The sequence below is a fragment of the Homo sapiens genome, chromosome 3 (assembly GCF_000001405.40).
Source record: "Homo sapiens chromosome 3, GRCh38.p14 Primary Assembly".
NCBI lineage: Eukaryota > Metazoa > Chordata > Mammalia > Primates > Hominidae > Homo > Homo sapiens.
Genome location: NC_000003.12, coordinates 128664519 through 128687378, shown reverse-complemented (window position 1 = coordinate 128687378; position 22860 = coordinate 128664519). Strand labels below are relative to the sequence as shown.

At 47.9% G+C, this 22860-nt stretch overlaps 1 pseudogene, besides 7 other annotated features; it reads left to right on the top strand.

Annotated features, from left to right (window-relative positions):
* Positions 6003–6222: a silencer, noted in NCBI's record as "silent region_14710". NCBI's record gives its function as "represses an Ori minimal core promoter by ATAC-STARR-seq in GM12878 lymphoblastoid cells {active_cell/tissue: GM12878}" and the evidence as "EXISTENCE:reporter gene assay evidence [ECO:0000049][PMID:35858748]".
* Positions 6003–6859: a biological region, named in NCBI's record as "H3K27ac hESC enhancer GRCh37_chr3:128399363-128400055".
* Positions 6167–6859: an enhancer, noted in NCBI's record as "H3K27ac hESC enhancer chr3:128399363-128400055 (GRCh37/hg19 assembly coordinates)". NCBI's record gives its function as "activates a minimal SCP1, AML or CMV promoter by ChIP-STARR-seq in primed H9 embryonic stem cells {active_cell/tissue: H9 hESC(primed)}" and the evidence as "EXISTENCE:reporter gene assay evidence [ECO:0000049][PMID:30033119]".
* Positions 6283–6452: an enhancer, noted in NCBI's record as "active region_20492". NCBI's record gives its function as "activates an Ori minimal core promoter by ATAC-STARR-seq in GM12878 lymphoblastoid cells {active_cell/tissue: GM12878}" and the evidence as "EXISTENCE:reporter gene assay evidence [ECO:0000049][PMID:35858748]".
* Positions 6563–6692: an enhancer, noted in NCBI's record as "active region_20491". NCBI's record gives its function as "activates an Ori minimal core promoter by ATAC-STARR-seq in GM12878 lymphoblastoid cells {active_cell/tissue: GM12878}" and the evidence as "EXISTENCE:reporter gene assay evidence [ECO:0000049][PMID:35858748]".
* On the top strand, positions 10328–12964 carry POU5F1P6 (POU class 5 homeobox 1 pseudogene 6; annotated as a pseudogene).
* Positions 11974–12043: an enhancer, noted in NCBI's record as "active region_20490". NCBI's record gives its function as "activates an Ori minimal core promoter by ATAC-STARR-seq in GM12878 lymphoblastoid cells {active_cell/tissue: GM12878}" and the evidence as "EXISTENCE:reporter gene assay evidence [ECO:0000049][PMID:35858748]".
* Positions 21152–22082: an enhancer, noted in NCBI's record as "H3K27ac hESC enhancer chr3:128384140-128385070 (GRCh37/hg19 assembly coordinates)". NCBI's record gives its function as "activates a minimal SCP1, AML or CMV promoter by ChIP-STARR-seq in naive H9 embryonic stem cells {active_cell/tissue: H9 hESC(naive)}" and the evidence as "EXISTENCE:reporter gene assay evidence [ECO:0000049][PMID:30033119]".

Here is a 22860-nt window from a genome sequence, read left to right as displayed (position 1 = left end):
GTATCACCAACTCAATGAGGTCTTTTCTGACCATCTTCTCTAAAGTATCAACTGCATCTCTATCCCCTTATCCTGATTTTGTCTTCTTCTTAACATTTACTACCACTTGACGTATTTGTTTGTTCATTGTGTCACCCCAGGAAAATGTAAACTCTGGGAAGGCAAAGATTTTGTTTTGTTTTAAGACAGGGTCTCACTCTGTCACCCTGGCTGGACTGCATTGACTCAATCACGGCTCACTACAGCCTCAACTTCCTAGGCTCAAGCAATCCTTCCACCACAGCTTCCTGAGTAGCTGGGACTATAGGCATGCACCACTGCACCCAGCTAATTTTTTTTCTCTCTTTTGTTTTTTGAGATGGAGTCTCGCTCTGTCACCAGGCTGGAGTGCAGTGGCACGATCTCGGCTCACTGCTACCTCCGCCTCCTGGGTTCAAGCAATTCTCCTGTCTCAGCCTCCGGAGTAGCTGGGACTATAGGCGCGCACCACCATGCCCAGCTAATTTTTGTATTTTTAGGAGAGATAGGGTTTCACCATGTTGGCCAGGATGGCCTCGATCTCTTGACCTCGTGATCCGCCCGCCTCAGCCTCCCTAAGTGCTGTGATTACAGGCGTGAGCCACCACGCCCAGCAATTTTTTTTCTTTGTAAAAAAATATGATAGAGATAGGGTTTCACTCTGTTGCCCAGTTAAACTGCGGTGATGCAATCATAGCTTACTGCAGGTTCAAACTCCTGGGTTCAAGGATCCACCTGGCTCAGCCTCCCCAGTAGCAGGGTAGAAGGGACCACAGGTATGTGCCGCCATGCCTGGCTTTTTGTTTTTATTTTTATTTTTGGTAGAGATGCATCTTGCCATGTTGTCCAGGCTGGTCTCTAACTCCTGAACTCAAAAAAATCCTCCCACCTCCCAAAGTTCTGGGATTACAGGTGTGAGCCACCATGCCTGCTAAGGCAAAGATTTTGACCTCTCTTTCTGTAGTAAGACCTTCAATTTATATCTGAATATATGAACGCGCAGAATAAAGCCTTACATGCTGGCCAGTGGACGAGCAACTTCTTGGTCATACTTTTAAAAATGAGGCAGATGTGGCTGGGCACGGTGGCTCACACCTATAATCCCAGCACTTCGGGAGGCCGAGGCGGGCAGATCACCTGAGGTCGGGAATTCGAGATCAGCCTGATCAATATGGAGAAACCCCCATCTCTACTAAAATACAAAATTAGCCAGGTGTGGTGGCACATGCCTGTAATCCCAGCTACTTGGGAGGCTGAGGCAGGAGAATCACTTGAACCCAGGAGGCAGAGATTGCAGTGAGCTGAGATCTCACCATTGCACTCCAGCCTGGGCAACAAGAGTGAAACTCCGGGGCCAGGCGCAGTGACTCATGCCTGTAATCCCAGCACTGTGGGAAGGTGAGGCGGGTGGATCACGAGGTCAAGAGTTCAAGACCAGCCTGGCCACGATGGTGAAACCGTCTCTACTAAAAGTACAAAAATTAGCTGGGCATAGTGGCGGGTGCCTGGAAGCCCAGCTACTTGGGAGGGTGAGGCAGAGAACTGCTTGAACCCGGGAGGTGGAGGTTGCAGTGAGCTGAAATCATGCCACTGCACTCCAGCCTGGGCGACAGAGCAAGACTCCATCTTAAAAAAAAAAAAAAGAGGGGTATGCCTTTTTTCTTCTCTTCCAGCTTTACACTGGCTGGGATTGGATGTGATGGCAACCAATTTTTAGACTATTTAGGTGATGGCAACTCCTTGGAGGTTACAAAGCAATCAGACAGACAGAACCTGGGTGCCCCACGATTTCTCAAAACAGAGCTGTCAAGAAGCTTGCGGCCGCACGCGGTGGGTCACGCCTGTAATCCCAGCACTTTGGAAGGCCGAGGCAGGCAAATCACCTGCAGTTAGGAAACGTGAATAATGTTGTTTAATGAAATTTTACTGTATCGCTCACCTATCTACTCTCCAATTTGTTCTTCTAACAGAACCCTGATTTGTTCAGGACAACAATGTGCCCAGATAAAGAACTTCATTTCTCAGTGTTCCTTGGAGGGAGAAGTGGCCAAGTAATATAATATGGTTCTAGGTAATGAAGTGTAGGCAGAAGCTACTGGGTGGGGCTTCCTGAAAAGTTCATAAAAACAAGGGCTGACTGAGCTGGCAAGTATGGTTTGCCATTTTCTCTTCCCTTCTACCCTGTCTGAAATGCGGATGTGATAGAGGAGGTAACAGCCATCTTATGACCCTGAGGTGACAAGAATGAGGATGATACCCACAGGGTAAGGATGATTGGGCAAAAGTACAGAAGTAACATTGGCCCAATGGCTCCATGATGTGATTTTACCACTCTGGACTTCTCGATTATGAGAAAATTGAACTCTATGCTTGGCTAAGGCATTTTATGTTGAATTTTATTTTATTTATTTTTATTTATTATTATTTTTTTGAGACAGTCTCGCTCTGTCGCCCAGGCTGGAGCGCAGTGGTGTGATCTCGGCTCACTGCAACCTCCGCCTCCCAGGTTCACATCATTCTCCTGCCTCAGCCTCCCGAGTAGCTGGGACTACAGGTGCCTGACACCACGCCCAGCTAATTTTTTGTATTTTAGGTAGAGACGGGGTTTCACTGGGTTAGCCAGGATGGTCTCAATCTCCTGACCTCGTGATCCGCCTGCCTCGGCCTCTCAAAGTGTTGGGATTACAGGCCTGAGCCACTGCGCCTGGCCTAATGTTGAATTTTCTATCAAAAGACAGAAGGGCTGACCGAGTGCAGTGGCTCATGCATATAATCCCAGCACTCCGGGAGGCCGAAGTGGGCCCAGGAGTTTGAGGCCAGCCTGGCCAACATGGCGAACCCCCAACTCCACCAAAAATACAAAATTAGCCAGGTGTAGGGGGACATGCCTGTAGTCCCAGCTACTTTAGAGGCTGAGACTAGGGAAGGTTGCTTGAGCCCAGGAGGCCAAGGCTGCAGTGAGCCATGATTGCTCCACTGCACTCCAGCCTAGGTGACAGAGCAAGATGTTGTCTTAAAAAAAAAAAAAAAAAAGTATGCAGTAGCCACTTCATATTAAAGTATGAAGATGAGCCTCAGAAACAGTGGTTTATAGGCAACTGTGAAATGAAACAGTGCAGGTGGCTGTTGGCAAAGAGGCATCTCGGCAATAGCCTGCAGACCATATCCGCCTCCTGTGGAGGCCTTGCCTTTTCCCCAACAGAGACAGGAAGCCTGAGGCCCAAGGCTCTGAGGTCCGTGGACCTGCCATCCCTTCAACTTCTCACTGTAGGCTTCCTGTGTTAACTGTCACCCTGCAGCAACCCACTCCTGCCTCTTGACCAGGGAAACTCTTCTGCCTGAGGGCAGTATTAATTAGTTCTTTACCTTTGAGGTTGAGATATTACAGAATTAAACACCACTTATTAAGTGCCTACTGCATACCCTGCACAAAGTGCTTTCCATATATTAATTCTAATTATTATTCTCACAGTGACCCTATGAAACAGGTTTTGTGATTCTCACCTTAGTTATGTGGAGACTGAAACCAAGAAAGGTTAAGTACGGCCAGACATGGTGGCTCACGCCTGTAATCCCAGCACTCTGGGAGGCCAAGATAGGTGGATCACCTGAGGTCAGGAGTTCAAGACCAGCCTGGCCGACATGGTGAAACCCCATCTCTATTAAACATACAAAAATTAGCTTGGTTTGGTGGTGCATACCTGTAATCCTAGCTATTCAGGAGGCTGAGGCAAGAGAATTGCTCCAACCCAGGAGGCAGAGGTTGCAGTGAGCCAAGATTGAGCCACTGCACTCCAGCCTGGGTGACAGAGTGAGACTCTGTCTCAACACACACACACACACACACACACCACACACACACACACACACACACACAAAAAGAAAAAGGAAAAAAAAGAAAGGTTAATTAACTTACTGTAGGCTCCACAATAAGAATCTAAATTCTTTCCACGTGGCCTCTAAGATGATGAAAATAGTAAGAGCTCTACAGAACTAGCATATTTTTAAGTCCTCAAAAAGTCTCAGAGGCAAAAATGTACTTTATCAAGCAACTGAGGGATTCCCTGAAACAATTATAGCTAATATTTACTGAGCATTTAGTACAGGTAGGTAACTTGGCTAAACTTTTATTAGCATATTTAATGCCTTCAACAACCCAGAGTGCTATGTGTAATTATCCCATGTAAGAATGCCCTCTTGGCCTGGCGAAGTGGCTCACACCTGTAATCCCAGCACTTGGGGAGGCCGAGGGGGGCGGATCACCTGAGATCAGGAATTCCAGACCAGCCTGGCCAACGTGGCGAAACCGCGTCTCTACTAAAAATACAAAATTAGCCAGGCATGGTGGCACACGCCTGTAATCCCAGCTACTCGAGAAGGTGTGGCAAGAGAATCGCTTGAACCTGGGAGGCAGAGGTTGTAGTGAGCCGAGATCGTGCCATTGCACTCCAGCCTGAGCAACAAGAGCAAAACTCTATCTCAAAATAAATAAATAAATAAAATACAAAAATTAGCGGGGTGTGGCCAGGTGCAGTGGCTCACGCCTGTAATCCCAGCACTTTGGGAGGCCGAGGTGGGCGGATCACGAGGTCAGGAGTTCGAGACCAGCCTGGCCAATATGATGAGACCCCATCTCCCTAAAAATACAAAAATTAGCTGGGCGTGGTGGCACGTGCCTGTAGTCCTAGCTACTAGGGAGGCTGAGGCAGAAGAATCGCTTGAACCTGGGAGATGGAGGTTGCAGTGAGCCATGATTATGCCACTACACTCCAGCCTGGGCAACAGAGCAAGACTCCATCTCAAAAAAAAAAAAATTAGCTGGGTGTGGTGGCATGCACCTGTAATCCCAGATACTTGGGAGGTTGAAGCAGGAGAATCACTTGAACCCAGGAGACAGACGTTGCAGTGAGCCGAGATCGCACCATTGCACTCCAGCCTGGGCAACAAGAGTGAAACTCCGTCTCAGGAAAAAAAAAAAAAAAAAAAAAAAAAGAATACCCTCTTCTCCAGTGCCTGGCACACTAGTAAAGGCTCAGTATGGTTGTTGCTTTAGGATGGAGGACTAACACTTCTTTCAAGTTCAAATAGGCGATTTCCAAACTCAATGCCAATTCTGAAACTGCTACTACTTATTTTTCAGGCAGTGGAAACACCTTTCTGGATGATTCTAAGGCAGAACTTGGCTCAAACTCTCAATGTTGCCACTGTTTTCGATATTAACCCGAAAAGCCTAAGATATACCAAAATCAGAAGAAGCCATTGAGACTATGTATGCTTACAGTAGAAAGGCATTCAGCATCAGCAAATAGGTCGAGTGCCTCCTGCTTCCCAGGCCAAATTTTCTGACCCCCCGCCAACAAAAACTAGCTTTCAAGAGGGCTCAGGCTGTCACAATGATTGGCATTCTTTGCTGTAAGTACTACAGTATTGACCTTGAAATTTTTATCCTTGAAAATTGAGTTTCATGAATGTTTATCAAATGTCTTGGTTCCAGGTTAAAAAAGTCTTTTTTTTTCTATGTGCTAGTCTGCCCTTATACCCTTACAAAAGAACTTGTCTTTAAGCCATAATTTAAATATTTACAAAAAATTTAAAATTAACACCTGTCCATGGTACAAAGCTCAGAAAACCCAACGGTCTTAGATGAAAACTGTCTCCTCCCATCCTTGTTCCGTATCTCTCCATTCCCTTCCTTAGGCTGGGCGATCGCTATTACCATTACCGCTATACTATGCTTACACATTCATATCTTCATTTATGTGGGTCTTCTTGTTTAAAAACACAAAGGCATATCTATACACATTTTCCTGTGCTTTGCTTTCTTTCACTTAATTTATCTCAGAGCTGGTTCCACATTAGTACATAAACTGCAGCTTTGCTCTTTTTAACGGTGGCAGGCCATTCCTCTGAAAGATGGCCTGATTTATTTCACCAGTTCCTGGTTTTGCGGCTCAGGATGGGAAAAAGGAAGTCTGAGTGAATCGCGTTGAGGTTACTAGGAATTGCCATGCTGCCCACCTCCCGAAGTGTTAGGAGGTAACATCTCATCGTCTCATCGCACTCCAGTGGAGTGTCGCGAAGTTGCAACTCGGCCCCAAGGCGGCCCGCACTTCCACCCGCACACAAAGGCAGGTCGCAGCCCCGCACGCGGGGACAGGGCCAGCAAGGGGCGGGGACCCTCGGGGCCGCCGCCTCCGCAGCCCCGCGTGTGGGACCCTGGGGCGGGCCGCCATCTTGTGGTGCGGCCGCCGCCTGCCAGGAGACACCTAGCAACTCCGCAGCGGCCATCTTTTACAAGAAACCTTCGCTGCAACCGCTGCGTCACATCACCGCGTCTCCCAGGGACAGGAAAGCCTCTCCGTGTTTGGTGAAGCTTCAGGGGAAGCAGTCATCCTGTCGTCGCATACGGCAAAATCCTCCATTGCCGTAGCCGTTCGGCTGACGTGACAAGGGAGGTGCAGGCCAACACGGCGACTCCGCGCCCTCTGGCGGCAGTGCCGGAGCAGCGGCGCTGTCTTTGACCTATCCGGCATTCGGCTTCCGGGACCGCTTGGCGGCTGTGAATGCAGAGCTGGGGCGACGTGGGGCTCGCTTCCTGGGACTGGGTGTGAGCTTGCGCAGTGAGCCATATGGGGGTCATGGCCTGGCGTGGGGGCGTGGCCGGGTGGGGCCGCTGGATTTGGTGCTGGAAAGCTAGGGAAGTAGTCGTGCGTTTAAGAACGGCCGGCCGGCGGGGTGGCTCAAGCATGTAATCCCAGCACTTTGGGAGGCCGAGGCGGGCGGACCACGAGGTCAGGGGTTCGAGACCAGCCTGGCCAACATGGCGAAACCCCGTCTCTACTAAAAATACAAAAATTAGCCAGCGTGGTGGCGTCTGTAGTCCCAGCTACTTGGAAGCCTGAGGCAGGAGAATTGCTTGAACCCAGGAGGCAGAGGTTGCAGTGAGCCGAGATCGTGCCACTTCACTCCAGCCTGTGCAACAGAGGGACACTCGTCCCCCCCCAAAAAAAAGCCCGGGCTGGGTGGCTTACACCTGTAATCCCAGTACTTTGGGAGGCCGAGGCAGGCGGATCATCTGAGGTCGGGAGTTCGAGACCAGCTTCATCAACATGGAGAACTCACCCATCTCTACTAAAAATACAAAATTAGCTGGGCATGATGGCGCATGCCTGTAATCCCAGCTACTCAGGAGGCTGAGGCAGGAGAATTGCTTGAACCCAGGAGGTGGAGGTTGCGGTGAGCTGAGATTGCACCATTGCACTCCAGCCTGGGCAGCAAGAGTGAAACTTTGTCTCTCTCTCTCTTTCTGTCTCTGGCACATACACACACACACGCACACACACGGGCCTCCTGTGGTCTCACTTGGTCCTCTTTGTGACAGTGCCATTGTTACCATTTACAGAGGAGGAACTGAAGCTCATGGTTGAGCCTCTCACTTGCCCACTTTGCCAAACCCTGGTAGGGATGGGATTAGAGGCTCCTTTTCTTTCGTGAAATGAGACAACGATCTGGGGGATCGTTGGAAGGATTAAAATGAGTATTCAGATTACAATGCTGGATTCTTAATAGTGTCCTCTGTTAATAATAATAATAATGTAGTAGCAACAGTCACGTAGTCTTTACAGTCACAGGTGCATGTGTGTAGATGGGGTTCTCTCTGTATTAGCCAGGCTGGTCTCCAACTCCTGGCCTCAGGCTATCTTCGCACCTCTGCCTCCCTTAGTGCTGGTATTACAGATGTGAGCCACTACACCAGCCTGCAGTTTTTACTACAACTCTGTGAGGTGATTAGTACTAGCATTCCCATTTGACAAATAAGGACAGTGAAGAAAGCAGAAGTAACTTGGCCAAGGTCACAGAACAGCCATAGCAATTCCTGGGTGGTGTGGAGTGGAAGGCTCTGGCCTTAACTGCTACACATTGTCTCTGGTAACAAGGCCCTGCCTGAAGTATATTCCGGCTTCTAGAGGTTGCAAGGAAATGGACCACTCATCAGTTCTTGCAGCCTCCTTATGATCTACAGTGGGACTTCGCAAAGGCAGGCCTAGTAGGAAAACAAAGAGAAGAGGGTTGGAAGAAGGGAAGGATTGGGGCTCAGAAATTATGAGGGAATGGACTAGAAAGGATAGAAACAAAGCTCTTGGGCAGGTGCAGTGGCTCACACCTGTAATCCCAGCACTTTGGGAGGGCAAGATGGGAGAATCAATTGAGGTCAGAAGTTCTAGGCCAGCCTGGCCAACATGGTGAAACCCCATCTCTACTAAAAATACAAAAAAAGAAAAAAGAAAAAAGAAAAAATGGGTCGGGAGCAGTGGCTCACACCTGTAATCCCAGCACTTTGGGAGGCTGAGGCGGGCGGATTACCTGAGGTCAGGAGTTTTATACCAGCCTGGCCAACATGGAGAAACCCCATCTCTACTAAAAATACAAAATTAGCCGGCCATGGTGGTGCATGCCTGTAATCCCAGCTACTCAGGAGGCTGAGTCAGGAGAATCACTTGAACCCAGGAGGTGGAGGTTGCAGTGAGCTGAGATTGCGCCATTGCACTCCAGCCTGGACAACAAGAGTAAAACTCCATCTAAAAAAAAAAAAAAAAATTAGCTGTGCTTAGTGGCACATACCTGTAATCCCAGTTACTCAGGAGGCTGAGGCAGGAGAATCGCTTGAACTAGGGGGATGGAGGTTGCAGTGAGCTGAGATCGTGCTACTCCACTCCAGCCTGGGCGACAGAGCCAGACTCTGTCTCAAAAAACAAAACAAAACAAAACAAAAATTAACTGGGCATGGTGTTGCAGGCCTGTAATCCCAGCTAATTTGGAGGCTGAGGCAGGAAAATTGCTTGAACCCGGGAGGTGGAGGTTGCAGTGAGCCGAGATCCTGCCACTGTACTCCAACGTGGGTGGCAGAGCGAGACTCCGTCTCAAAAAAAAAAAAAAGAAACAAAGCTTTTGTCCCCATCTCCACCAGAAGTGAAGAAAAGAATGGCTTCCAGCTTGAGGAATGGGGAATGGGGATGATGGTACTACACTACTACTACTACTATTAAATACTACTGCTACTGCTACAACACTACACATTCATATCTATTCTTAGAAGGTATTAATCCCAGAAATTCAGGTTGAGGTTGGGAAAAGTAGGTTCCTTATCCTTGGGAATCTGTTTACTTACCTATAAAACCAGAGTGTAGTAAATAGGAATCCCTGTCCTGGCTGCCTAGCCAGGTTGTTAGGAGGAAAGAGAGATTTGGTGTCCTATACTAGCATTCAGAATGACTTGTGATGGGACACTGTTTGCAAGGCTGGGGAAAGCAGGCTGTGATACCTACAAGTGGGAGTGTACATTTTTACAACTCCATGAGGAGGCAAGCTGGCATATCTGTTAATGTAACATTAATCCTTTGTACCAATCCTTTGATTAAGCACTTCAGGGCCAAGGAAACTATCTTACATATGTATTCCCCCATGTGCACAGACAAACGTAGAAAGAGGTACAGTTGAGGGCTGTTTGAATGGCAAAAGCATGGAAGCAAACTAATTGTTCATAAATAGGGGACTGGCTTGATTTTTGAAAAATGACACATCAAGCCTGAGCAACATGGTGAAACGCTGTCTCTACAAAAAATACAAAAATGAGCTGGGCGTGGTGGCAGGCACCTGTAGTCCCAGCTACTCAGGAGGCTGAGGCAGGAGGATCACTTGAGCTGCAGAGGCAGAGGTTGCAGTGAGTGGAGATCGCACTACTGCACTCCAACCTGGGTGACAGAGTGACACCACATCTCAAAAAAAAAAAAAAGACACATTTGTTTAACAGGAATTCTATGCAGCCCCTCCTACAAAATAAAGTAGTACTGTTGTAGAATAAGCTCCAAGATTTATCACATATAATTATAATTATGACTGTGGCTGCAAATAACAATGTAGCCTTCTATAGTGCAAATAACAATGCAAATTACATTGCAAATAACAATGTAGCCTTCTATAGTGGCTTAAACAGACAAGGGTTAATCTGTCTCAAGCAATAAGTAGCAATAAGGGCAGGCACATCTGAGTCTTGTATGGGGCATTGGTGTGTTGTCAGGAATGCAGACTCTTTTTCTTTTTAAAATTTCAAAAGCCTTAAGAAGGTCACAGTGGCACATGCCTGTAGTCCCAGCTACTCAGAAGGCTGAGGCAGGAGGATCGCTTGAGCCCAGGAGTTCCAGGCTGTAATGAGCCATGATCATGCCTGTGAATAGCCACTGCACTCCAGCCTGGGCAACATAGCAAGACCTCATTTCTAAAACAACTTTTTTTAAAATTTAAAAACTTTTTGCCTCATTTCACCAGATCCCTGGCTTGGGGAGCCTTCCTTCCCCATGGTGGGACACCTGGCTTTGGATTTCACCTTCTTGCCCCTTCCAGGTGGTGGAGGTAATGGGTCAGCGGGGCGGGAGCTGGACTTGGCTAAGCTTCCAAGGCAGGAATTGGGCCGGGTGTTGGGCCAGGCTCTGAGATGTGGGGGTTTCTCCCGTGCCCCCCACTGCATGAGTTCCGTGGGCAGATGGTATACTCTGGGTCTCCGGTTGCAGTGGGGCTAGTGCCCCAAGGTGGCTTGAAGACCTCTCAGCCTGAGGGCGAGGCAGGAGCCTGGGTGGAGAGCAACTGTGAGGGGCCTCCCTGGAGCCTTGCACTGCCCCAGCTGGTGCCATGAAGCTAGAGAAGGAGAAGCTGGAGCAAAACCTCAACGAGTCCCAGGACATCAAAGCTCTGTAATTTGCCAAGCTCCTGAAGCAGAAGAGGATCACCCTGGGATATATCCAGGCCCGTGTGGGGCTCACCCTGGGGGCTCTTTTTTTAAATGTTTATTTATTTGTTTATTTATTTTTGAGACAGGGTCTCACTCTGTTGCCCAGGCTGGAGTGCAGTGGCGTGACCTTCGCTCACCACAACCTCTTGTTGTGCCCAGGGGTGTTAGAGAGAACGCCACACTTTGAGACGATTTAAGAGTCCTTTATTAAGCCGGCGGCCAAAGAGACGGCTAACGCTCAAAATTCTCTTGGCCCCGAGGAAGGGGGTTGATTAACTTTTATACCTAGGTTTAGGAAGGGGAGGGGAACTCAAATGCAATAATTCTACAGAAGTAAAAACATGCAAGAATAAAAAAAAAATGGTTACAAAGAGATAAACAATTTAAAAGACAAATGGTTACAAGAAGAGCAACGGTACCAGGTGCAAGGCTTTAAACCTTTATTATAATTAGATATAGGGGGTATGCCGGACAGGAACTCAAGGCTTTATGTTGTTATCTCTTTGAGAAAAATCCTGGGAACTTCATACATTGTTGGTGCTAGTACCTTATCAGTTAATTGGGCTACTTTGAAATGCTGAGGATCTGCTTACACAGGTTAACTCCTTGCGGAAGGGGGTTGGGTAAGGAGCCCTTAGTATCTTGTAAATTAAGGGGTCAATTGGAGTTTGTCTGGCTTTCCCAGCTAGAGAGAGTCTTATTTACATGAGAAGCAAGGCTAGGTGATTAAAGAGACAAGCAGGATAAAATTCAAAGTAACGAGTTAGAGTAAAAACAAGGTTAGGCGTTTCACTCTGCCTCCTGGGTTCAAGCGATTCTCGTGCCTCAGCCTCCCAAGTAGCTGGGATTACATGCATGTGCCACTATGCCCAGCTAATTTTTGTATTTTTAGTAGAGACGGGGTTTCTCCATGTTACAGGCCAGGCTGGTCTTGAACTTCTGACTTCCCACCTTGGCCTCCCAAAGTGCTAGGATTACAGAAGTGAGTCACCATGCCCAGCCTCTGGGGGGTTCTATTTGGGAAGGTGTTCAGCCAAATGACCATCAGCTGCTTTGAGGCTCTGCAGCTCAGTTTCAAGAACATGTGTAAGCTGCCTCCCTTGCTGCAGAAGTGGGTGGAGGAAGCAGCCAACAATGAAGAGCTTCAGGAGATATGCAAAGCAGAGACCCTCAGGCAGGCCGAAAGAACAAGAACCCGGGCCAGTCGCGGTGGCTCACACCTGTAATCCCAGCACTTTGGGAGGCCGAGGCGGGAGGATCACGAAGTCAGGAGATCGAGACCATCCTGGCTGACAAAGTGAAACCCTGTCTCTACTAAAAATACAAAAAAAAATTAGCCGGGTGTGGTCACGGGCACCTGTAGTCCCAGCTACTCAGGAGGCTGAGGCGGGAGAATTGCCTGAACCCGGAAGGCGGAGCTTGCAGTGAGCAGAGATCGCGCCACTGCACTCCAGCCTGGGCGACAGAGCGAGACTCCATCTCAAAAAAAAAAAAAAAAAAAAAAAGAAGAAGAACCGAGTGAGAGGCAAGCTGGAGAACTTGTTCCTGCAGTGCCTGAAACCCACACTACAGCAGATTAGCCACATTGCCCAGCAGATCAGCCACATCAGCCAGTGCGCCCACAAACCCACACTGCAGCAGATCTCCAGGTTGGGCTGGAGAGGATGTGGCCCCAGTGTGGTTCTGTAACTGGCGCCAGAAGGGTAAGTGATGAAGCAATGACTATGCACTACGAGAGGATTTTCAGGCTGCTGGGTCTCCCTTATCAGGGGGCCAGTGTTCTTTCCTCCGGCCCCAGGGCCCCATTTTGATACCCCAGGCTATGGGAGCCCCCACTTCACTATGCTGCGAGGGGAAGCCTTTACCCCGTCTCTGTTGCCACTTGGCCCTGCCATGAATTGAAACTGAGGTGCCTGCCCTTCTAGGAATGGGGGACAGAGGAAGGGAAGAAGCTAGGGGAGGAGAACCTGGAGTTTGTGCCAGGGCTTTTGGGCTTAAGTTCCTCATTCACTAAGGAAGGAATTGGGCACACAAAGGGTGGGGGCAGGGGATTTTGGGACAACTGGTTGGAGGGAAGGTGAAGTTCAATGATGCTTTTGCTTTTAATCCCTACATCATGTATCACTTTGTTCTTAAAGAAACCTGGGACACAGTAAAAAATAAATAAAATAAGGCCGGGCGTGGTGGCTCACGCCTGTAATCCCAGCACTGTGGGAGGCCGAAATGGGCAGATCACGAGGTCAAAAGATTGAGATCATTCTGGCCAATATGGTGAAATCCCATCTCTACTAAAAATACAAAAATTAGCTGGGCGTGGTGCCACGTGCCTGTAGTCCCAGCTACTCAGGAGGCTGCGACAGGAGAATCACTTGAACCCAGGAAGCAGAGGTTGAGTGAGCCAAGATTGTGCCACTGCACTCCAGCGCGGTGGCTCATGCCTGTAATCCCAGCACTTTGGGAGGCCAAGGTGGGAAGATCACCTGAGGCCAGGAGTTCAAGACCAGCCTGGCCAACATGGTGAAACCCTATCTCTACAAAAAATACAAAATATTGGCCGAGTATAATGGTGCAAGCCTGTAGGCCCAGCTACTAAGGAGGCTGAGGCAGGAGAATTGCTTGAACCTGGGAGGCGGAGGTTGCGGTGAGCCGAGATCACGCCATTGCACTCCAGCCTGGGCAACAAGAGCTAGACTCTGTCTCAAAAAAAAAAAAAAAAAAAAAAAAAATGTGATGCCCTGTTAGAAGCCAGAGACCACTATGCTGCCTTAGGTGGGGTGAATAGGCCCACGTCAGAAATGGAGCAGGTCAAAACTCCTGTGCTGATCAGTAGTGGGATAGTGCCTATGAATCACCACTGCACTCCAGCCTGGGCAACATAGTGAGATTCTGTCTCAAAACAAAAGTTAGCTAGCTGGGCACAGTGGCTTATGCCTATAATCCCAGCATTTTGGGAGGCTGAGGCAGGAGGATCACTTGAGCCTAGGAGTTTGAGACCAACCTGGGCAACATGGTGAAACCCCATCTCTACAAAAAATACAAAAATTAGCTGGGCACAGTGGCTCACGCCTGTAATCCCAGCACTTTGGGAAGCCGAGGTGGGCGGATCACTTGAGGTCAGGAGTTCGAGACTAGCTTGGCAAACGTGGTGAAACCTCCTCTCTACTAAAAATACAAAAATTAGCTGGACGTGGTGGCATGTGTCTGTAATCCCAGCTACTCAGGAGGCTGAGGCAGGAGAATCGCTTGAACCTGGGAGGCGGAGGTTGCAGTGAGCTTAGATCACACCACTGCATCCAGCCTTGGCGACAGAGCAAGACTCTGTCTCAAAAACAAACAAACAAACAACAAAAACAACTATATATATATATATATAGATATATATGTAGCTGGGTGTGGTGGCATGCACCTGTAGTCCCAGCTACTGGGGAGGCTGAGGTGGGAGGATCTTGTGAGCCTGGAAGCTGGAGGTTGCAATGAGTGCCCCTGCACTCCAGCCTGGGTGACAGAGCGAGACCTTGTCTCAAAAAAAAAAAAAAAAAAAAAGTGGGCTAAAGACCTTAATAGACACCTTAGCAAAGAAGGTCTACAGACAGCAAATCAAGCAGAAGAAAGATCCTTCCTATCATCTATCATCAGGGGAATGCAAATTAAAACAATGAGATACCACTGGACACCTATTAGAATGGCCCAAGTGCTGACGAGGATGTGGAGCAACATTAACTCTCATTCATTGTTGATGGGAATGTAAAATGGCACAGCCACTTTGGAAGACAGTTTGGCAGTTTCATACTGAACTAAACATACCCTTACCATACAATTCATACAATTGTACTCCTTGGTATTCACCCAAAGGAGTTGAAAATTTGTGTCACACAAAAACCTGCACATGGATGTGTATTCATTTATTCATAATTGCCAAAACTTGGAAGCAACCAAGATGTCTTTCAGTAGGTGAATGGATAAGTTCCTGTGGAAAATCCAATGTAATGTTATTTAGTGCTAAAAACAAAAGACATAGAAGCATTTTTTTTTTTTTTAGACAGGGTCTTGCTCTGTCACCCAAGCTGGAGTGCAGTGGTGCCATGACATCTCACTGCAGCCTCAACCTCCTGGACACAAGCAGTCCTTCTGGTTCAACCTCCCAAGTAGCTGGGACTACAGATTTGCCACCATGCCCACATAATTTAAAAAAAAAAATTTTTTGGTAGAAACTGGGCCTCACTATCTTGCCCAGGTTAGTCTTGAACTCCTGGGTTCAAGAAATCTCCCCACCTCAGTCTCCCAAAGTGCTGGGATTACAAGCGTGGACCACCACTCCTGACCAAGGAAACTTAAGTGCACATTACTAAGTGAAAGAAGACAATCTGAAAAGCCTACATAATGTATTATTCCAACTATATGACATTCTGGAAATGGCATAAATTATGGGGACAGTAAAATATCAGTGGGCCGGGCGTGGTGGCTCATGCCTGTAATCCTAGCACTTTGGGAGGCCAAGGTGGGTGGATCACCTGAGGTCAGGAGTTTGAGACCAGCCTGGCCAACATGGCAAAACTCCATCTCTAGTAAAAATACAAAAATTAGCTGGGCGTGGTGGCACACACCTGTAATCCCAGTTACTCGAGAGGCTAAAGAAGGAAAATCCCTTGAACCCAGGTGGTGGAGGCTGCAGTGAGCCGAGATCGCACCACTGCACTCCGGCCTGTGGGACAGGAGGGAGACTATCTCAAAAAAAAAAAAAAAAGATCAGTGGCTTCCGGGGGCTAAAGCGAGGTGAGGTGGAAGAATGGATGAATAGGCAGAACACAGAGGACTTTTAGGGCAGTGAAAATACTGTGTAATGCTAAAATGGTGGACGATGTATGTCATTATACATTTGTCCAAACCCATAGACTGTCCAACACCAGGACTGAGCCTCATGCAAACTATGGACTCAGTGATCAATGATATGCCCGGGTGGGGTCATCCACTGTGACAAATGCACCACTCTGCTGGGGATATGGACAGTGGGGAAGGCTGTGCATGCGTGGGGGCAGGAGGCATATGAGAACTCTCTGTACCTTCTGTTCAATTTTACTGTGAATCTAATACTGCTCTTAAAAAATAAAGGCTTTAAAATGCAAATGTTAGCTTTACAGTCACATGATGTGGAGGAAGCCAGTCATATCACGTGAGTAAAATGACATGACAGTATGAGGGAAGAGGTGGAGGGGAAATATGATTGGGAGAGTACGCAAGTCACAGCCACCTCTGACATGGGCAGGCAGAAGGAGATATACACACAGCACATACACAGTGAGCTCAGAGGTCATCATGTTTGGCCAGGGGTGGTGGCTCATGCCTGTAATCCCAGCACTTTGGGAGGCTGAGGCGGGTGGATCGCCTGAGGTCAGGAGATAGAGACCATCCTGGCCAACATAGTGAAACCTTGTCTCTACTAAAAAAAAAAAAAAAAAAAAAGCCGGGCGTGGTGGCGGCCGCCTGTAATCCTAGCAACTTGGGAGGCTGAGGCATGAGAATCCCTTCAACCCAGGAGGCAGAGGTTGCAGTGAGCCGAGATCACACCACTGCACTTCAGCCTGGCGAAAGAGTGAGACTTTGTCTCAAAAAAAAAAAAAAAAAAAAAAAAAAGAAGAGATCATCATGTTCTGAGTTATTGGTAAAAATAGAAATAAAACCCATTTATGTAATTTTAAGGTTCTTTTTTTTTTTTTTTGAGATGGAGTTTCGCTCTGTTGCCCAGGCTGGAGTATAGTGGCGCAATCTCAGCTCACTACAACCTCTGCCTCCTGGGTTCAAGCAATCCTCCTGCCTCAGCCTCCTGAGTAGCTGGGACTACAGGCATATGCCACCACGCCCGGCTAATTTTTTGTATTTTTAGTAGAGACGGGGATTCACCATGTTGCCCAGGCTGGTCTTGAACTCCTGACCTCAGGTGATCGGCCCGCCTCAGCCTCCCAAAGTGCTGGGATTACAGGTGTGAGCCACCGCGCCAGGCTCAATGGAAAACGTTTTTCTAAAAAGAAGTGTTCTTATTTGAAGAAAAATAGCCAGGTGCAGTGGCTCAAGCCTGTAATCCCAGCACTTTGGGAGGCCAAGGCGGGCGGATCACGAGGTCAGGAGATCGAGACCAGCCTGGCTAACACAGTGAAACCCCGTCTCTACTAAAAATATAAAAAAAAATTAGCCGGGTGTGGTGGCGGGCGCCTGTAGTCCCAGCTACTCAGGAGGCTGAGGCAGGAGAATGGCATGAACCCAGGAGGTGGAGGTTGCAGTGAGCCAAGATCGCGCCACTGCACTCCAGCCTGGGCAACAGAGCAAGACTCCATCTCAAAATAAATAAATAAATAAATAATAAATAAAATAATTTTTGTCTAATTCAAAGGTTATTTAAAGATTATTTATGAAATGAAGTAAAAGAAATGAGTAAATAGGGGACATATAAAGAAAGTATGAACCAAAAAGTATTTGAGACAAGTCTCAATCAATTTAGAAGTTTATTTTGCTAAGCTTAAGGACACAGGAGACAGGTCTGTGTATTTCTCCAAAGATGAGTTTGGATTCCAAGTCTGGCATACTTTTAAGTGTTACATCAGGAGTGTCTAACAACAAAGCCTGATATTTCCGTAAGTGTCCTCGTCATCCACTGGTGTCCTTTAGCTTCTAGGACTCCTTGTACTTGGTGTGGGGTTAAAACCTCCAGATGTTGTCCTAAAGCCAGTTTATTGGTTTCATCTACTAAAAGAGCAGTTGCTGCAACTGTCCTGAAGCATCCAGGCCTGATAAGAAAGGTGTGTGAGGAAACCAAAGTCCCTGAAGAACAGCTTAGATGATAGGTAAAATGCTCTCTATGGGCTTGTCCATCTACCCTGTGATCATACAGTTTTGGGGTGACAGAGGCCCATTATAATGGGACAAAACAGAATAAGCAGCCCAGAAGGAAGTTAATATTCTTACCTGCCAAAGTCAAGGGTTCCCAAGGCTCCTCCAGAGATATGGCTAGTTGTCTGATGGGAGCTGTGGCGGAAGGTTTTGGCCCTGTCACTCCTGGACTTGCCTGGCTATTTCGTGGTTCCTTTCTTTCTTTCTTTTTCTCTTTCTTTCTTTCTCTCTCTCTCTCTTTCCTTTCTTTCTTTCTTCCTTCCTTCCTTCCCTCCCTCCCTCCCTCCTTTCTTTTCTTTTCTTTTCCTTTTCTTTCTCAGAGTCTCACTCTGTTGCCCAGGCTGGAGTGCAGTGGCACCATCTCAGCTCACTGCAACCTCCGCCTCCCGGTTTCAAGAGATTCTCCTGACTCAGCCTCCCGAGTAGCCAGGATTACAGGCATGTGTCACTATGCCCGGCTACTTTTTGTGTTTTTAGTAGAGAGGTGGTTTCACCATGTTGGCCAGGCTGGTCTCGAACTCTTGACCTCAGGTGATCCACCCACCTTGGCCTCCCAAAGTGCTGGGATTACAGGCATGAGCCACCGCGCCTGGCCTTGCCTGGCTATTTCAGCCATCATTGGTTCGGGCGCGGATAGCTCCTTCCAGTGCGGTGGGCAGTCCCTCTTCCAATGGCCAGTTTTCTTACGGTGTGCACACTGATTCATGCCCAAGACACAGTGACTGGAACACCCAGCTTTGGGCTTCCTGCCTTTCTGCTTCCCTTGTTCAGTCCAAGAGCAAGGAAAGCAATCCCATGTGGGAGGTGAGCTTAAGGCTGCAGCCAAGAGCTACACCTTGTGGGAGGTCCTTCTTGCTCTTTCTGCTTCCTCTGCTTTGTCCGTTATTAAAAACTAAAAATGCCAGGCTGGGTGCGGTGGCTCACACCTGTAATCCCAGCACTTTGGGAGGCCGAGGCGGGCAGATCACGAGGTCAGGAGATCGAGACCATTCTGGCTAAAATGGTGAAACCCTGTCTCTAGTAAAAATACAAAAAATTAGCTGGGCATGGTAGCGGGCACCTGTAATCCCAGCTACTCAGGAGGCTGAGGCAGCAGAATGGCATGAACCCAGGAGGCAGAGCTTGCTGTGAGCTGAGATCGTGCCACTGCACTCCAGCCTGGGCAACAGAGCAAGGCTGCATCTCAAAAAAACCCACAAAAAACAAAAAACTAAAAATGCCATATCCAAAAGCTGTTCCATAGGAATTTGGGGACCCATAGCTGCTTTTTGTAGTTTCCTACGGGTATCAGGGGCAGAATGGGTTATAAAATGTACTCCGAAAAGGGTTTGTCCTTCCCTTGAGGCAGGATCAGTGTTACTGTAGTTTCTGATAGCCTCAATGAAACGCCCTTGAAACAAAACTGGATTCTCATCTTTACCCTGAGAAACTTCCTTAACCTTTTCAGAGTTAACAGGCTTTTTCATACCTTTCTTCATCCCTTTCAACAAACAAGTGACCATATGATCTTTCCTCCCCAAGTCCTCACTGCCCCTTTGATAGTTCCACTTTGGATCTTGATCTGGAACTGCTATACCTCCTGCCTGATATATATAATGGTTTGGGTTGTGAGCCAATACCTCGTCTGCATGGGTCCTAGCTGTCCCCAAAATGTGTTGTTTCTCTTCCACTAAACAACACAGAGACAAAAAGACATGCAGATCCTGCCAAGTTAAACTATAGGTTGGAGTTAATTTCTCCAACTCATCTATGAATTGTCCTGGATCTTCAGAGAAAAGACCAAACTTCTCTTTGCATAGAGCCAAATCAGACATAGAAAAGGGAACATGTGCTCTCACAGTGCCTTCTTCCCCATTTGCCACCTCTCTAAGTGGATAAAGGTTTCCCACTGGAGGTTGATAGGAGGCTCCAATATGAGTGGTACTTGCTGGACTAAGTTCCTCAGGGAGTGGTGGGTACAGAGTGGGACTAGACGGGTAAGAAGGAGGGGATGAAGCGTTCTCAATAGAGTTTTCAGGTGGACTAGAGGGAGAAATGACCGACACATCTGAACCTTCATAGCTGACAGAAGGAGGTTCTGCTCCACCCAAAAATGCCTGCTGTCCCTTTGTGGTCACCAGAAATATGTTACAGGACAGGGGTCCCCATCCAGGCCCCAAGAGAGGGTTCTTGGATCTTGTGAAAGAAAGAATTCAGGGCGAGTCCATAGTGCAAAGTAAAAGCAAGTTTATTAAGCAAGTAAAGTAGTGAGCCCGGTGTGGTGGCTCACGCCTATAATCCCAGCACTTTGGGAGGCCAAGGTGGGCAGATCACCTGAGGTCGGGAGTTCGAAACCAGCCTGACCAATGTGGAGAAACCCCGTCTCTAGTAAAAATACAAAATTAGCTGGGCATGGTGGTGCATGCCTGTAATCCCAGCTACTTGGGAGGCTGAGGCCGGAGAATCACTTGAACCCAGGAGGCGGAGATTGCGGTGACCCGAGCAAGTCCAGCCGTTGCAGTCCAGCCTGGGCAAGAAGAATGAAACTTCGTCTCAAAAAAAAGTAAAGTAGTGAAAGAACAGCTACACCATAGACAGAGTAGGACATTCCCGAAAGTAAGAGGAGGAATGCATCCACCCTAGGTACAATGCTTGTATATATGTGGGGAGATGTGCTCTGCTACAAGGGTTTGTTATAAAGGATTAATTTTTTAAATTACTATATTTTGCAAAAATCAATACTATTATCGATTTGCTTTAAAGCAAAATTAGGAACTATGTCTTTGTTCTCCAGATATTGGGATATCTGGATACTCTCAAGTCTGGGTCTGTTTAGTAAACTTTTTTTTTTTTTTTGAGATGGGATCTCGCTCTGTCACCCAGTCTGGAGTGCAATGGCGTGATCACGGCTCACTGCAACCTCTGCCTCCCTGGTTCAAGCAATTCTCCTGCCTCAGCCTCCTGAGTAACTGGGATTACAGGGGCACACCACCACACCCGGCTAATTTTTGTATTTTTAGTAGAGATGGGGTTTCACCATGTTGGTCAGGCTGGTCTCGAACTCCTGACCTTGTGATCTGCCCGCCTCAGCCTCCCAAAGTGCTGGGATTACAGGCGCGAGCCACCACACCTGGCCCCCCCCCTTTTTTTTTTTTTTTTTTTGAGAAGGAGTATCGCTCTGTCTCCCAGGCTGGAGTGCAGTGGCGCGATCTCAGTTCACTGCAACCTCCGCCTTCTGGGTTCAAGCAATTCTCCTGCCTCAGTCTCTTGAGTAGCTGGGATTACAGGCACCCACCACCCGCCCAGCTAATTTTTGTATTTGAGTGGAGACGGGGTTTCATCATGTTGGCCAGGCTGGGTCTCGAACTCCTGACCTTGTGATCCGCCCGGGCTAGTAATGCCTAATTTTCTGAGCATGCAGCCCAGCAAGTTCCAGCCGCATTTTCCTAGCCCTCACTCAAAATGGAGTCACTCCATCCTGGCTAACACGGTGAAACCCTGTCTCTACTAAAAATGCAAAAAATCAGCTGGGCGTGGTGCCGGGCGCCCGTAGTCCCAGCTACTCGGGAGGCTGAGGCAGGAGAACGGCGTGAACCCGGGAGGCGGAGCTTGCAATGAGCCGAGATCGCGCCACTGCACTCCAGAACAGAGCGAGACTCCGTCTCAAAAAAAAAAAAAAAAAAAAAAATGGAGTCACTCTGGGCCGGGCGCGGTGGCTCAGGCCTGTAATCCCAGCACTCTGCAAGGCCAAGGTGGGCGGATCACCTGAGGTTGGGAGTTTGAGACCAGCCTGACCAACATGGAGAAACCCCGCCTCTACAAAAAATAAAAAATCAGCTGGGTGTGGCGGTGCATGCCTGCAATCCCAGCTACTAGGGAGGCTGAGGCAGGAGAATAGCTTTAACCCAGGAGGCAGAGGCTGTGGTGAGCCGAGATTGTGCCATTGCACTCCAGCCTGGGCAACAAGAGCACAAGTGTGCCTCAAAAACAAACAAACAAAAAACCGGAGTCACTCTTGTTCGAACGCCTCCAACACTATCACTAAGTAAAGGAGAATTTATAATAAAGGAAAATTTACATCCTGTCTTTAAGTGGTAAAGGAAGGGGGAGGATAGAAAGACCTTTTTTCTTTGTCCTGCTCTAGGCAAACAGGGAAGGCAGAGAGCTCCCCCACATGTTTCTTATCTTTAATTCAACATCCTTTATGTTTTGGGGAAAAATATTCTGGCTTCCTTCAATGACCGTGCTAATAATGTCTGTTTTGTAGTCTTTTTCTGATAAATCCAAATTCATAGGCAATTTCCTCCTTTTTTGTTTTCTTCTGGTGGATCATGAATACATTTCTGTTTCTTCGTATACCTTGTACTTTGTTGGAAATGGGACATTTTGGATAATATGCTGTAGGGATTCTAGATCTTGACCCTCCTCCCCTTTAGGGTTTAATTATTTGCTTTTGTATTTGTTTAGTGACTTACTGAATTTTTTTTTTTTTTTCTGAGACAGTCTCTCTCTGTCCCCCAGGCTGGAGTGCAGTGGCACGATCTTAGCTTACTGCAACCTCCATCTCCCGGTTTCTCCTGCCTTCTCCTGCCTCAGACTCCCAAGTTGCTGGGATTACAGGTGCCTGCCACTGTATCTGGCTAATTTTTGTAGTTTTAGTAGAGACGGGGTTTCACCATGTTGGCCAGGCTGGTCTCGAACTCCTGACCTCAGGTGATCCACCCGCCTTGGTCTCCCAAAGTACTGGGATCACAGGCATGAGCCACTGCGCCCAGCTGACTTACTGGATTTTTTTTTTTTTTTTTTTTTTTTTTTTGAGACGGAGTCTCACTCTGTCCCCCAGGCTGGAGTGCAGTGGCATGATCTCGGCTCACTGCAACCTCTGCTCCCGGGTTCACGCCATTCTCCTGCCTCAGCCTCCCAGGTAGCTGGGACTACAGGCGCCCGCCACCACGCCTGGCTAATTTTTTTTGTATTTTTAGTAGAGATGGGATTTCACCATGTTAGCCAGGATGGTATCCATCTCCTGACCTCGTGATCCGCCCGCCTTGGCCTCCCAAAGTGCTGGGATTACAGGCATGAGCCACCGCACCTGGTCTGACTTACTGGAATCTTTTAGTGAAGGCTGTCTTTTCTCTCACAGAGTAAATCCTCTTTCTTCCTTTTCTTTATTTTCTTTCTTTTTTTGACAGAGT